Source organism: Homo sapiens, chromosome 16, assembly GCF_000001405.40.
Source record: "Homo sapiens chromosome 16, GRCh38.p14 Primary Assembly".
Lineage (NCBI taxonomy): Eukaryota > Metazoa > Chordata > Mammalia > Primates > Hominidae > Homo > Homo sapiens.
The window spans coordinates 1,227,359-1,242,864 of NC_000016.10; the positions used below are offsets into that span (position 1 = coordinate 1,227,359).

Below are 15,506 nucleotides of genomic sequence, written 5' to 3' on the forward strand. Positions count from 1 at the left end.
CAGAGGCAGAGGTCACGTGGGGCTGGAGAGGGCACTGGGAGTTGAGTCCACCCCTTGTGAGGACAGAGGTCATTTGCAGAGATTCGGGAGACTAAATGCACATCTCTGCATCTAACAGTTGGAAGGAAAGAGTGAATGTTTCTTTAGAGAGTTGTTTTCAACCAGAACAGCCCCGCATTTCATTCCTGAGTGTAATCATGTTCAAATATAAAATGCAAACAAGAGCCCGGGATAAAATGCAACACTCGCCAGACGCAGAGGGCTCACCTATTGATGTAGAGAAAGACCTCAAAATGAATTTGAAAATGTCAAACTCAGGCCGGGTGCGGTGGCTCACGCCTGTCATCCCAGCACTTTGGGAGGCCGAGGCGGGCGGATCACTTGAGGTCAGGAGTTCGAGACCAGACTGGCCAACATGGCGAAACCCCATCTCTACTGAAAATACAAAAATTAACTGGGCGTGGTGGCTCACTCCTGTGGCCCAGCTATATGGGAGGCCAAGATGGGAGGATCGCTTGAGCCCAGGAGTTAAGGCTGCAGTGAGCCCTGATCACACCACTGCACTTCAGCCTGGATGACACAGCGAGATCCCGTCTCAAAGCAAACAACTAGGCAAAGCACAAGCAGTGGACGGAGGGGCCGGGAGAAGAGCTCGTGGGAAGCGTGGGGTAGGGGCTCGTGATGGGCAGCCCTGGGGCTCCCGGTGACCATTCTCTGTCTTGACCCGGTTGCAGGGACCTGGCTGTCCTTTATAATCAACTGAGTTGCCCGAGTGGCTCTGTGTGACCCGAATGCTGGATGCATCGTGTGGGGAGAAGCCAGCCTCGGGGACCAGGGCTGCCCAGGAGGCCCCGTCCCACGGTGACTGGCTGTGCCTTGAGGGCTAGGACCTCACACTGTGGCAGGTGTCCTCAGCACACCTGGACCCCTTCTCTCCCAGTGACATCCACAACCAGAAACACAGCGATGCACACCAGTGATTTCCATGCACTTTAATGAGGTCCAGCACTCAGGAGGATTAGCGCCCACCACCAGCTGCCTGGGCAGGGGAGGGCCGGAGGGCCCGGTGCAGGCGTCAGGCTTAGGACAGGGAAGGGGGCTCAGGATGGGGAAGGGTCCTCAGGACAGGGGAAGGGGCTCAGAAGAGAGCAGGGGGCTTAGGACAGGAAGGGGCACTCAGGACGGGGCAGGGAAGGTGTGGGGGGCAGTCGCCACCTGGGTAGGAAGCAGTGGTGTTTTGAACAGGAGGGGCTGGCTCTCCAGTGACCCAGGTGGACACCCCAGGCCTGACTCACGGCTTTTTGGGGACATAGTGGTGGATCCAGTCCAAGTAGTAGGTGACACGGGTGTAGATGCCAGGCCGGTTGGGCTGGGCACAGCCCTCGCCCCAGCTGACCACGCCCGCCTGCAGCCAGGTGCCATTCACCTTGCACACCAGGGGCCCTCCGGAGTCGCCCTGGGAAGGTCAGAGGTCAGCGCTCGCCGAACAGGCCTGGGAGTGGGGGTTGGGGGGCGGGGGGCGGGGGACAGGCGGGGCCCACCTGGCATGAGTCCCTCCGGGTGTTCCCGGCACACAGCATGTCGTCACGGACGATGCGGACGTCGTCTCCCGTGTAGGCGCCAAGGTGGTATTTTGCGTCACAAATGTGGTTTTCCATTATGGGGACCTTCACCTGCTTCAGAGGAAATGGCGGTGGGAGGCGCTCTGCAGGTGGGGAAGAGGGTGCAGCCTCAGGAGGGGGCCGGGCAACCCCCACCTGGAGCCCAGAGGGAGCCCAGGGGCTGGGCTGTGGCTAAGACCCTGGCCCCACCTCCACTGTCCCCAGACCCACCATCATTGTCCACATCGCCCCAGCCAGTGACCCAGCACGGCATCCCCGGGGGGAAGGTCTCTGAGGCAGGGGGCAGGGTGACCGTGTGGACGTGGCTGGAGACGTTCACCGGCTCCTCCAGCTCCAGCAGGGCGATGTCCGCTCCGATCTGGGCGGTGTAGAACTGTGGGTGCACGATGATCCTGCTGACCGGCAGCAGCTGGTCCTGGTAGTAGAGGTGCTGCTCCCGCAGTTGCACCCTGAGGGCGGCCAGATCCTTGACGTCCCTGGGCAGCGGAGGATCCCACTCAGGGCCCTGGGCAGCCCCCAGGAGCACCCGGGAGCCAGGGCTCACATCCAGCCCTTCCCCACCCTTCCAGGCCCCGGGAGACTCACGGTCCCACGCAGTGCGCTGCGGTCAGCACCCACTGGGGGTGGATGAGGGAGCCCCCGCAGAAGTGCATCCAGTATCGGTCGCGGACTCTCAGGCTCACCTGCCAGGGCCACTTGCTCCTGGGGGCCTCCTGACCCCCAACGATGCCCACTCGCTGCAGGGCCTGGCCTGGGGCTGGGGCAGGTGCCAGGTCAGGACCAGGAAGCAGCCCCAGGCCTGGGCCCAGCCCTTCCCTGTGTGGGGGCCAGCCCGACCTCCCCAGAACCCACCCAGGCCCTGACCTGTGGAATGTGGTGAGGGGCAGGGTGGACCCCGGCTGGGACTCACCAGGGGCCGCGTAGGCGCGGCTCGCCAGGACGGGCAGCGCCAGCAGCAGCAGATTCAGCATCTGGGGAGCAAGGAGGAGCATCGTGGGCCTGGCCGGGCCTCACAGGGCAGGGCTGGGGGCTACAGATTGTGGGGTGAAGAATGGAGCTGGGACGGGGGGACCGGGGTGGGTCCAGGCCTGCAGGCCTGGGTCTTGGTGCTCTGAGTCTGAGGCTGGGCCACTCTGCTCCAGGTGACGCTGATGTCAGGGTCTCTGAGAGTGGGGACTTACCCTGGCCGCTCCCTGTTCCTTCTACCCAGTGGGCTCTCCCCTCCCCATTTATGCTTCCAGATCAGGAGGGGGCGGAGGAGGGGCGCTGGGTCCTCCCATCCAGACTCGGAGGAAGTGGATGACTCAGACCCAGGGCCCCCGTGTAACACGTGCCCCCGCCACCCCGATGCCCTCTGTGTGTGGGGCTGCCAGGCAGGCCCCGCTGAGGGCTGAGCACTGGAGACTGGCAGCTCCACCTGTCAGCTGGTGGATCCCAGCACTAGAACCCACCACCTTCCCGCTGGTGGGATCTGCTCCTGCCCCTGTCTCGGTGCCAGGAGGCCTTCAGGCATTGCTGCACCCAGGTGGCCTGGCTGTCCCAGGCTACAAGACCCATCGCTCCTGAAACCTGTTTCCCCAAGAGGGACACGGGGTGAGGAACTCATGTCCATGGGCCACCCTCCAAGAGACGGGAAGGTGCCCACGGGGTGGGGACATGACGGGTGACACCCCTCTTACGGACTCCGAATCCACGGGGGTGGCGCCAGCCCTCCTCGACTCACTTGGTGGGAGGCTCACATGAGACCCCTTTGTCAGATGGGGAAACAGCCTTGAGAGGGGACAGCACCAAGTGTCCTCAGCCAGGAAGGGGCCCTGCTCCCCACCCGCCGTATGAGACCCAAGTCCTCCTACGAGTCCTCAATGTCCACCTCTGGGGCTGTCCGTGCAGGACCCCTGGTCTGCAGGTGCCTCCTTATCATGGGATCTGAGCTTCATCGGCAGAGGGAAGGGCAGACAGGAGTGCAGGTGCAACCCCAGGAGACCCAGCCCAGCTCCCCATGGACTCACCCCCAACCCCAGCCCAGCTCCCCATGGACTCACCCCCAGCCCCAGCCCAGCTCCCCATGGACTCACCCCCAGCCCCAGCCCAGCTGCCCATGGACTAGTCCCAGCCCCAGCCCCAGCTCCCCATGGACTCACCCCCAGCCCCAGCCCAGCTCCCCATGGACTCACCCCCAGCCCCAGCCCAGCTCCCCATGGACTAGTCGCAGCCCCCGGCCCCAGCTCCCCATGGTCTCACCCCCAGCTCCAGACCCAGCTCCCCATGGACTAGTCCCAGCCCCAGCCCAGCTCCCCATGGTCTCACCCCCAGCCCCAGCCCAGCTCCCCATGGACTAGTCCCATCCCCCGGCCCCAGCTCCCCATGGTCTCACCCCCAGCCCCAGCCCAGCTCCCCATGGTCTCACCCCCAGCCCCAGCCCAGCTCCCCATGGACTCACCCCCAGCCCCAGCCCAGCTCCCCATGGACTAGTCCCAGCCCCCGGCCCCAGCTCCCCATGGTCTCACCCCCAGCCCCAGCCCAGCTCCCCATGGTCTCACCCCCGGCCCCAGCTCCCTGTGGACTTGCCCCCGGCCCCAGCTCCCTGTGCTCTCCATCCCATTCAGCGCTGACACTGTCCCTGCAGGTCCGTCCACCCCACCTCCTGACTCCCCTGGGCCTGTTGGTCACTGGGGCCTCCAGCCCACCTCCTCCGCTTCTGAGCCCCAGGACCCCCTGCCTGCCCCCCGACCCCCAACACAGGGCCACTCCAGGGCTCCTCCTGCCCCCACCCTGCCTGGGACCAGCCTGGTTTGGGGCTGACTCTGCACTGCGGGGCCATATGCATCTGGACTCCTTCCGGGCTGCACCCCCCGGGGGACAGGCAGGGGTGGCCCAGACCGCTCCTGCTCATGACCCTGCTTCTCCTCCATTCTCTGGACAAACTCCCCAGAGGCCTCCACCTGCCCCGTCCTGGTTCCATGAATGAGGCCCACAAGATGGGACCTTCAGGAGCCCAGGAGGTGAGGGGATGGGGTGACGGGGGACACCAGGGATGAGGGTGTGGCAGGGACACGGGAGACACCAGGGCTGACGGTGAAGAAGAGACTCAGGGGACACCAGGGCTGGGAGAACCCAGGGACACACGGGGACACCGGGGCTGTGGTGTGCAGAGGGCTCTGGGACCCCCGAGTCAGGGGCTCTGGGGCCGCTCCTCCTAGGAATGCTCCGATTGGGTCAGGCCTGGGAGGCGGACCAATCAGCACCATGGGGATGCGAGAGCCTTGATTGGCTAACACTGGGCCAATCAGGGCGCGTCCTGGGCACCCCGCCCCGATCCCCGGCCGCTCCCCTGGGGCTGCTGCAGGGCTGGGGTCCCAGGCCATTGACAGACACTGGGCAAGAGGCCACGTGGGGCAGTGTCCCCGAGAGAAGGGTGGGGAGTCGGGTGAGACGACAGTGGCCGCGCCCAGACTCAGGGCAGCGATGGGAAACTCAGCCCCAGGAGCTTGCTGGGCTGGGGAGACGCACCTGGCGCGTGCAGAGGCCCCGGCAGCCATGACTCACGAGGCGGAGAACTGCACGGAGAGCTCCGGGCATCCGCAGGGGGTTCCCCCCGGCGTCCTCGGCCGAGTGCCGGAGATGCAGAGAGACGTGGGAGCCGCGTCGGAAACGAGAACCACCAGATGAGAGGGGCGGAGTCCGGGAGTGCGCGCGGGGCTGGGGATATCGCGTGTTCCCAGCAGCTGAGTGGAGAAACCTTGTCAGAGGCAGGCACTGGAGAGTCCTCGGAAGGGTATGGAAGGGTACGAGGGGAGAAAGTAATCCCGAAACCAAAGGCTTCTCCGGACCCACCCTCACAAAGCTGAAAAGCAAAGCCCAGACGGATCCAAATGATTGCAAGTGACTTAACTGCCTGTGAGAACACATCTCAAAACGATGTCAAGGAATAGAACACAACCCAGCACGCAACAAAACACTCCAGAGAGTACTCACGAGATCCGGGGGCTAGTCAAGAACGAGCGGGTGGCCGGGCGCGGTGGCTCACGCCTGTCATCCCAGCACTTTGGGAGGCCGAGGTGGCAGATCGTGAGGTCAGGAGAACGAGACCAGCCTGGCCCACATGGTGAAACCCCGTCTCTACTAAAAATATAAAAATTAGCCGGGCGTGGTGGCACGTGCCTGTAATCCCAGCTACTCGGGAGGCTGAGGCAGGAGAATCGCTTGAACCAGGGAGTCAGAGGATGCAGTGAGCCGAGATCGTGCCACTGCACTCCAGTCTGGCAACAAAGCAATACCGTGTCTAAAAAAAAAAAAAAAAAAAAAAAAAAAAAAAAAGCAGGCATGAAAAAGGATGACCTCCCGATAAAAAAAATCAATCATGTTCGGGCGTGGTGGTTCACGCCTGTAATCCTAGCACTTTGGGAGGCCGAGGCGGCTGGGTCACCTGAGGTCAGGAGTTCAAGACCAGCCTGGCCAACGTGATGAAACCCCATCTCTACTAAAAATACAAAAATTAGCTGGGCGCGGTGGCTCACGCCTGTAATCCTAGCACTTCGGGAGGCCAAGGCGGGTGGATCACCTGAGGTCAGGAGTTCGAGACCCCCCTGGCTAACACAGTGAAACCCTGTCTCTACTAAAAATACAAAAAATTAGCCGGGCGTGGTGGCGGGCACCTGTAGTCCCAGCTACTCGGGAGGCTGAGGCAGGAGAATGGCGTGAACCCGGGAGGCGGAGCTTGCCGTGATCCGAGATGGCGCCACTGCACTCCAGCCTGGGCAATGAAGGAGACTCCGTCTCAAAAAAAAAAAAAAAAAAAAAAAAAAGAAATGTGAAAGGAAGTTCTGCAGGAAGAAGATGATAAGAGATGAACATCTAGACCTAGACTAAGGGAAGATAAACTCTGGAAATGGAAACAGCTGTGACTGTGTAAGACAGTTTTCTCTCTCAAAAAATATTTGAAAGAGAATTGGCAGTTTGAAGCAACAACAGCAAAGCGAGTGCAGGTATCGTGTGGTTTATGGAATACACAAGGGTGCGGCGTGTGCTACAGTAACAGAAGGATCCGGGGAGACTAAAAGCAGGCTGTTGCAAGTTGAAATTGCACGTGAAGTTGTGGTGTTTTGGAATTAATGCACTTTATTTTTTAGAGCAGTTTTAAGTTTACAGACAACTGGGCAGATAGTACAGATCGTATCCCCCCACACACACATCCCCACACACAGAGTTTCCTGTTATGAACATTTTGCATTACTGTGGGTGCATTGTTACAGCTGATGAACAATATTGATACATTATTACTAACGAACTCCCACAGTTTACATGAGGGTTCACTCTGTCTGTTGTACATTCTGTGGGTCGTGGCAAGTGCACAAGTCATGTGTCCACCATTACCGTATTATGCGGAATACATCCCCTGCCCTCAAAATCTCGTGCTCCACTGCCTCTCCCTCTCCCCATCCCCTGGAAACCACGGATATTTTCATTGTCTCTGAAGTTTTGACTTATCCACTATCAACGATACACTATTAACTTTTTCCGACTAGCTTCTTTCACTGAGTAGTAGGCAGTTATGGCCCCTGTATGTCTTTTCAAGGCTTGATAGCTCCTTGCTTTTATTTATTTATTTATTTATTTATTTATTTATTTATTTATTTATTTTGAGACAGAGTCTCGCTCTGTCTCCTAGGCTGGAGTGCAGTGGTGTGATCTCGGCTCACTGCAAGCTGCGCCTCCCGGGTTCACGCCATTCTCCTGCCTCAGCCTCCGAGTAGCTGGGACTACAGGCACCTGCCACCATGCCCAGCTGTTGTTTTTTTTTTTTTTTTTTAGAGATGGGTTTTCACTGTGTTAGCCAGGATGGTCTCAATCTCCTGACCACATGGTCCGCCCGCCTCAGCCTCCCAAAGTGCTGGGATTACAGGCATGAGACACCGCACCCGGCCAGCTCATTGCTTTTTGTCTCTGAATGATATTCCATTGTCTGGATGTACCACAGTTGTTCTACCCATTCGCCTTTTGAAGGACACTTTGGTTCCTTCAACTTTTTGGCAATTATGGGTAAAGATGCTATCAACATCATGTGCAGGTTTTTGTGTGGGCATAAGTTTTCAACTCCTTGGGTAAGTAAATACCTAGAAGCACAATTGCTAGATCATATAGTAAGAGTATGTTTAGCTTTGTAAGAAACTGCCAAACTGTCTTCCAAAGTGGCTGCGCCATTCTGCCTTCTCATCAGCAGTGGATGAGAGTTCCCGTTGCTCCACCTCCTTGTCAGCACTTGGTATTGTCTGTCTTGGGGACTTTAGTCATCCTAACGGGTGTGTAGTGGTATCTCATTGTTATTTTAATTTAATTAATAACGTTTGATGCTGAGCATCTTTTCAGGTGCTTATTTGACATCTCTATATCTTCTTTGGTGAAGTGTCTGTTCAGATCTTTTGCCTACTTTTTTTTTTCTTTTTAATTCTTTCAATCTCTTTGTTAGATTTATCTGATGCCCACTTTTTAATTGTGTTGCTTGTTTTCTTTTTCCTTTTTCTTTTTTTTTTTTTTTTGAGACGGAGTCTCACTCCGTCACCAGGCTGGAGAGCAGTGGCGTGAGCTTGGCTCACCACAACCTCCGACTCCCTGGTTCAGGTGATTCTCTTGCCTCAGCCTCCCAAGTAGCTGGGATAACAGGCGTGTGTCACCACACCCAGCTAATTTTTATATTTTTAGTAGAGACGGGGTTTCACCATGTGGGCCAGGATGGTCTCGATCTCCTGACCTCGTGATCCTCCCACCCTGGCCTCCCACAGTGCTGGGATGACAGGTGTGAGCCACCACACCCGGCCAGGTTGCTTGTGCTGGGATGACAGGTGTGACTCCCTGCCCGGCCGGGTTGCTTGTTCTCTTTAATGTTGACTTTAAGGGTTCTTGGTATATTTTGGATAATCATCCTTTATCAGATATGAGTTTTGCAGAGATATTCTCCCAGTCTGTGGCTTGTCTTTTCATTCTCTTAACAATGTCTCTTGTAAAGCAGAGTTTAAAAAAAATTTTTTTTTGAGATGGGGTCTTGCTCTGTTGCTCAGGCTGGAATGCAGGGGTGCAATCCTAGCTCGCTGAAGCTTCAACCTCCCAGGCTCAAGCGATCCTCCCACCTCAGCCTCCCGAGTAGCCACCGGTCTGTCCGGTTTGGGGGCAGTGCTTTGTCCCGTGAGCTCGGTTCTCAGAAGGCTGTTCAGCTGCGTTTCAGTTGGCCCAGCGTTTCCGATGTGGTTGTGAGGTTGGCTTCCAGTCCCTTCGTATGTCCGAGTGGGAACTGAATGTATAGATATATTTTTTTATTGAGAGCAAATTAAATAAACAGAATGCACAGACCTGAAATGTCCAGTCCAATGAATTGTGATGATTGCCAAACCTGTGTAACCATGGCCCAAAGCAAGACGTATCACCCTAGGGTGTCTACTCCCCGCCCCTTCAGGCAGGTGACCGAGAGGTGAGGAAACCTCTAGGGTGATGAAAATGGCCCGTGCTCCTGTCTCTCCACCTACGTAGGGCTTTGAAATCTCCTCCCAGCAATGTTTGTACTTTTTGGTGTAGAGATCTTGCATGCCTTCCCTTAAATGTATTCCTGGTGTTTGATTTTTTTATTCTGTAGCAAAGGGTATGGATGTTCGCGTTTATCGTCCAATATTCATGGCTGGCGTTTAGAAACACAGTAATCCTTTTGCATATTGGTTTTGTATGTCACAGCCCTGCTAAGTCCATTACTCCAGGGTCCATTATTCCTGGATTTTCTACGCAGCGATCACCGACTTTTCTCTCCCTCCGGAGCGCTGCACTTCCCCGCGTCTCCAGCAGAGGGGGCCCCTGACCATGCAAAGCGGAGCCCGGGCGCGGCCGAGGCAGGCGCTGGGAGGAAGGCGGGGCGTTTGCGGGAGGGCGGGGCGGGGGCGGGGAGGGGGCAGGGCAGGTGCGGGGAGGGGCGAGGAAGGGGCGGAGAGGAGTCAGCTGCCCCGCCCAGCCCACCTGCCCGCTGGGTCGGGTCTCAGAGCCCTGGAGCTTCCAGGGCTGGGATAGGCCTTGCGTGTGACCGTAGCAGGTCACGGCGCCCTCTCTGCCTCAGTTTCCCCACGGGGAGAAGAGGCTGCACTGGGGTGCGAGCCGGGGCTGTGCAGGCCTGGAGCGGGGTCTGCCTCCAGGCCTAGGCTGTGGCCATCGCCCTCCACTCCTCTGGGAGGAGGGAGCTGGAGGGGCTCATGCAGGTCAGGGGCCAAGGGTCAGAGGTCGGGGGAGGAAGAGCCACTGCGGCTGGCCCAGAGGTCACTTAGCCACCAGATGCAGGAGACAGCCAAGAGGAGGACGAGTTGGAGGAGGAGGAAGAAGTCCCCTGGGAGGGGGCCTGGGGAGCCGCCTGAGCCCCCGATGCTGGGATGCGGCGGTGGGGCCGGCTCACCCAGGCAGAGAGGAGGGTGTAGACCCCTGGCCAGCGCCCGCAGCTGTAGCTCTTGACCCAGCTCATGACGCCAACCTGCCCTCAGGAACCATGCGCCTGGCAGACCAGAGGCCCTCCCGAGTCACCCTGAGGGCAGAGAAGGCAAGGACTAGGAGGTGGGGGGTCCCGTTTCTGGGCTCCGGCACCCCCACGCTCCGTGGCCAGCCTGGCTCATCAGGTTGCTCTCGTCGGGGAACCGCAGAGTGAAGCCGCAGGGAGAACCCACTTCACACCCACCGAAACGGCCAGAAGCTTTTTAAACAGTCAAGCTCTGCTCACATCTCCACCCCACCCCTTCCCTTTCCCTCCAATAGATTCTGTCCTAAAGCCTAGCATGGGGCAGGTCCCAGGGTGGACCTGGGGCGCCACAGCCACACTGGCCCAGAGTGGGGGGCACACGGGGGATTGATGAGATCAGTGAATTGGGGGTGGAACCAGCTCCCCGCTGCTGGAGAAGGCAGCCCGATGGGAGAGGAGAAACGCAGAGTAAGCCCTGTGGGGTGGAATCACAGCTGAGGCACTGTGAGAGCTCATGGTTTTCATTATAGATATGGCCGTGTAGATGTGCACGTGGGAGTGTGTGTGTGTCAGTGTGTGAGTGTGCCTGTGTGTGAGTGTGCATGTGTTATGTGTGTGCATGGGTGAGTGTGAATGTGTGTGCATGTGTGTTCGTGTTTGCATATGAACATTCGTGTGTGCATATGTGCATGTGAGTGCACAGATGTGCATGTGTGAGTGCATGTGTGTGTGCATCAGGTACATGCATGTGTGTGCATATGTGTGCGTGTGTGCATGTGAACATTCGTGTGTGTGCATATGTGCATGAGTGTGCACACATGTGCGTGCATGTGAGTGCATTGTGAGTGTGCATGGATCAAGTGTGTGCAGGTGTGTGCATGTGTGAGTGTGCATCTGTGTGCACGTGTGAGTGCATGGATCAAGTGCGTGCACGCATGTGCATGTGTGTGAGTGCATGGATCAAGTTTGTGCATGCGTGTGCTCTGTCCCCTGAGGAGGGCTGTGAGCAGTAACACCCAAGAGCGATGGGCAATCCCTTCACCTACATCGTGGTCTCTAAATACCGTTTGCCACCGACAGGAGCTGGGCCTCCTGGAGGACTGCCTGGCGCAGAGGCGGATATGAGAGGAGCCCAGAAGAATCTTGTAGGAGGAAAAGTTCAAAGATGGAGACATGTCAGACGACACAGAAGCCAGCTCGCAGGAGCTCCCAGTGTCCGCATCAGGATGAGTTTGCATATTAGAAAAATGATTGGGAAAAAGAAAGAAATTAAAATAATTGAATAAAACAGGGGACCATGAGTCTATTCAGTTATAAATAAGCAAATGAATACATAGTCTGATGAGAACTTGGCTAGTTACAGGGTCTCAAGGAATCTTTATTCTGCGTCTTCATTCTGAACTGGATGGAACCTTCCTGAGCGCAGAGTCCTTTCCACTGTGAATTATGGGTTTGTTATCGTTTTTGTTCGTTGCTGGTTGTACGTGACGGGAGTTCAGCTTTTTGCTGCGGGACGGCAGAGATAGGATGCGGGGCTTCCTGAGAGGCGCCGGGGCAGGGCCGCACAGGTCCATCCACCTCCCCTGGGACCCCAGCCCTGCAGCAGCCCCAGGGGAGCGGCCGGGGATCGGGGCGGGGTGCCCAGGACGCGCCCTGATTGGCCCAGTGTTAGCCAATCAAAGCTCTCGCATCCCCATGGTGCTGATTGGTCCGCCTCCCAGGCCTGACCCAATCGGAGCATTCCTAGGAGGAGCGGCCCCAGAGCCCCTGACTCGGGGGTCCCAGAGCCCTCTGCACACCACAGCCCCGGTGTCCCCGTGTGTCCCTGGGTTCTCCCAGCCCTGGTGTCCCCTGAGTCTCTTCTTCACCGTCAGCCCTGGTGTCTCCCGTGTCCCTGCCACACCCTCATCCCTGGTGTCCCCCGTCACCCCATCCCCTCACCTCCTGGGCTCCTGAAGGTCCCATCTTGTGGGCCTCATTCATGGAACCAGGACGGGGCAGGTGGAGGCCTCTGGGGAGTTTGTCCAGAGAATGGAGGAGAAGCAGGGTCATGAGCAGGAGCGGTCTGGGCCACCCCTGCCTGTCCCCCGGGGGGTGCAGCCCGGAAGGAGTCCAGATGGATATGGCCCCGCAGTGCAGAGTCAGCCCCAAACCAGGCTGGTCCCAGGCAGGGTGGGGGCAGGAGGAGCCCCGGAGTGGCCCTGTGTTGGGGGTCGGGGGGCAGGCAGGGGGTCCTGGGGCTCAGAAGCGGAGGAGGTGGGCTGGAGGCCCCAGTGACCAACAGGCCCAGGGGAGTCGGGAGGTGGGGTGGACGGACCTGCAGGGACAGTGTCAGCGCTGAATGGGATGGAGAGCACAGGGAGCTGGGGCCGGGGATGAGACCATGGGGAGCTGGGGCTGGGGCTGGGACTAGTCCATGGGGAGCTGGGGCTGAAGTTGGGGGTGAGTCCATGGGGAGCTGGGCTGGGCCTCCTGGGGTTGCACCTGCACTCCTCTCTGCTCTTCCCTCTGCGTATGAAGCTCAGATCCCATGATAAGGAGGCACCTGCAGACCAGGGGACCTGCACGGACAGCCCCAGAGGTGGACATTGAGGACTCGTAGGAGGACTTGGGTCTCATACGGCGGGTGGGGAGCAGGGCCCCTTCCTGGCTGAGGACACTTGGTGCTGTCCCCTCTCAAGGCTGTTTCCCCATCTGACAAAGGGGTCTCACGTGAGCCCCCAACCAAGTGAGTCGAGGAGGGCTGGCCCCACCCCCGTGGATTCGGAGTCCGTAGGAGGGGTGTCACCCGTCATGTCCCCACCCCGTGGGCACCTTCCCGTCTCTTGGAGCGTGGCCCATGGACATGAGTTCCTCACCCGTGTCCCTCTTGGGGAAACAGGTTTCAGGAGCGACGGGTCTTGTAGCCTGGGGCAGCCAGGCCACCTGGGTGCAGCAATGCCTGAAGGCCTCCTGGCACCGAGACAGGGGCAGGAGCAGATCCCACCAGCGGGAAGGTGGTGGGTTCCAGTGCTGGGATCCACCAGCTGACAGGTGGAGCTGCCAGTCTCCAGTGCTCAGCCCTCAGCGGGGCCTGCCTGGCAGCCCCACACACAGAGGGCATCGGGGTGGCGGGGGCACGTGTTACACGGGGGCCCTGGGTCTGAGTCATCCACTTCCTCCGAGTCTGGATGGGAGGACCCAGCGCCCCTCCTCCGCCCCCTCCTGATCTGGAAGGATAAATGGGGAGGGGAGAGCCCACTGGGTAGAAGGAACAGGGAGCGGCCAGGGTAAGTCCCCACTCTCAGAGACCCTGACATCAGCGTCACCTGGAGCAGAGTGGCCCAGCCTCAGACTCAGAGCACCAAGACCCAGGCCCGCAGGCCTGGACCCACCCCGGTCCCCCCGTCCCAGCTCCATTCTTCACCCCACAATCTGTAGCCCCCAGCCCTGCCCTGTGAGGCCCGGCCAGGCCCACGATGCTCCTCCTTGCTCCCCAGATGCTGAATCTGCTGCTGCTGGCGCTGCCCGTCCTGGCGAGCCGCGCCTACGCGGCCCCTGGTGAGTCCCAGCCGGGGTCCACCCTGCCCCTCACCACATTCCACAGGTCAGGGCCTGGGTGGGTTCTGGGGAGGTCGGGCTGGCCCCCACACAGGGAAGGGCTGGGCCCAGGCCTGGGGCTGCTTCCTGGTCCTGACCTGGCACCTGCCCCAGCCCCAGGCCAGGCCCTGCAGCGAGTGGGCATCGTCGGGGGTCAGGAGGCCCCCAGGAGCAAGTGGCCCTGGCAGGTGAGCCTGAGAGTCCACGGCCCATACTGGATGCACTTCTGCGGGGGCTCCCTCATCCACCCCCAGTGGGTGCTGACCGCAGCGCACTGCGTGGGACCGTGAGTCTCCCGGGGCCTGGAGGGGTGGGGAAGGGCTGGATGTGAGCCCTGGCTCCCGGGTGCTCCTGGGGGCTGCCCAGGGCCCTGAGTGGGATCCTCCGCTGCCCAGGGACGTCAAGGATCTGGCCGCCCTCAGGGTGCAACTGCGGGAGCAGCACCTCTACTACCAGGACCAGCTGCTGCCGGTCAGCAGGATCATCGTGCACCCACAGTTCTACACCGCCCAGATCGGAGCGGACATCGCCCTGCTGGAGCTGGAGGAGCCGGTGAACGTCTCCAGCCACGTCCACACGGTCACCCTGCCCCCTGCCTCAGAGACCTTCCCCCCGGGGATGCCGTGCTGGGTCACTGGCTGGGGCGATGTGGACAATGATGGTGGGTCTGGGGACAGTGGAGGTGGGGCCAGGGTCTTAGCCACAGCCCAGCCCCTGGGCTCCCTCTGGGCTCCAGGTGGGGGTTGCCCGGCCCCCTCCTGAGGCTGCACCCTCTTCCCCACCTGCAGAGCGCCTCCCACCGCCATTTCCTCTGAAGCAGGTGAAGGTCCCCATAATGGAAAACCACATTTGTGACGCAAAATACCACCTTGGCGCCTACACGGGAGACGACGTCCGCATCGTCCGTGACGACATGCTGTGTGCCGGGAACACCCGGAGGGACTCATGCCAGGTGGGCCCCGCCTGTCCCCCGCCCCCCGCCCCCCAACCCCCACTCCCAGGCCTGTTCGGCGAGCGCTGACCTCTGACCTTCCCAGGGCGACTCCGGAGGGCCCCTGGTGTGCAAGGTGAATGGCACCTGGCTGCAGGCGGGCGTGGTCAGCTGGGGCGAGGGCTGTGCCCAGCCCAACCGGCCTGGCATCTACACCCGTGTCACCTACTACTTGGACTGGATCCACCACTATGTCCCCAAAAAGCCGTGAGTCAGGCCTGGGTTGGCCACCTGGGTCACTGGAGGACCAACCCCTGCTGTCCAAAACACCACTGCTTCCTACCCAGGTGGCGACTGCCCCCCACACCTTCCCTGCCCCGTCCTGAGTGCCCCTTCCTGTCCTAAGCCCCCTGCTCTCTTCTGAGCCCCTTCCCCTGTCCTGAGGACCCTTCCCTATCCTGAGCCCCCTTCCCTGTCCTAAGCCTGACGCCTGCACCGGGCCCTCCAGCCCTCCCCTGCCCAGATAGCTGGTGGTGGGCGCTAATCCTCCTGAGTGCTGGACCTCATTAAAGTGCATGGAAATCACTGGTGTGCATCGCTGTGTTTCTGGTTGTGGATGTCACTGGGAGAGAAGGGGTCCAGGTGTGCTGAGGACACCTGCCACAGTGTGAGGTCCTAGCCCTCAAGGCACAGCCAGTCACCGTGGGACGGGGCCTCCTGGGCAGCCCTGGTCCCCGAGGCTGGCTTCTCCCCACACGATGCATCCAGCATTCGGGTCACACAGAGCCACTCGGGCAACTCAGTTGATTATAAAGGACAGCCAGGTCCCTGCAACCGGGTCAAGACAGAGAATGGTCGCCGGGAGCCCCAGGGCTGCCCATCATGAGCCCCTACC

The 15,506-nt window shown here is 59.8% G+C and overlaps 2 protein-coding genes across 2 annotated transcripts, besides 2 other annotated features; one reads left to right on the top strand and one right to left on the bottom strand.

Annotated features, from left to right (window-relative positions):
• Nucleotides 978-2,826, bottom strand: TPSB2 (tryptase beta 2). Its single transcript, NM_024164.6, has 6 exons — nt 2,804-2,826; nt 2,533-2,593; nt 2,208-2,379; nt 1,833-2,098; nt 1,542-1,705; nt 978-1,456 (listed from the first exon to the last, which is right to left on the bottom strand). The coding sequence occupies exons 2-6, from the start codon at nt 2,591-2,593 to the stop codon at nt 1,292-1,294; spliced, it is 828 nt and encodes a 275-aa protein (NP_077078.5). The 5' UTR covers nt 2,804-2,826; the 3' UTR covers nt 978-1,291.
• Nucleotides 11,209-11,791: an enhancer, noted in NCBI's record as "H3K4me1 hESC enhancer chr16:1288568-1289150 (GRCh37/hg19 assembly coordinates)". NCBI's record gives its function as "activates a minimal SCP1, AML or CMV promoter by ChIP-STARR-seq in primed H9 embryonic stem cells {active_cell/tissue: H9 hESC(primed)}" and the evidence as "EXISTENCE:reporter gene assay evidence [ECO:0000049][PMID:30033119]".
• Nucleotides 11,792-12,372: an enhancer, noted in NCBI's record as "H3K4me1 hESC enhancer chr16:1289151-1289731 (GRCh37/hg19 assembly coordinates)". NCBI's record gives its function as "activates a minimal SCP1, AML or CMV promoter by ChIP-STARR-seq in primed H9 embryonic stem cells {active_cell/tissue: H9 hESC(primed)}" and the evidence as "EXISTENCE:reporter gene assay evidence [ECO:0000049][PMID:30033119]".
• Nucleotides 13,347-15,196, top strand: TPSAB1 (tryptase alpha/beta 1). Its single transcript, NM_003294.4, has 6 exons — nt 13,347-13,370; nt 13,581-13,641; nt 13,795-13,966; nt 14,076-14,341; nt 14,469-14,632; nt 14,718-15,196. Exons 2-6 carry the CDS (start codon nt 13,581-13,583, stop codon nt 14,880-14,882), a joined length of 828 nt encoding a protein of 275 aa, NP_003285.2. The 5' UTR covers nt 13,347-13,370; the 3' UTR covers nt 14,883-15,196.
• The last annotated feature ends 310 nt before the right edge of the window (nt 15,197-15,506 follow it).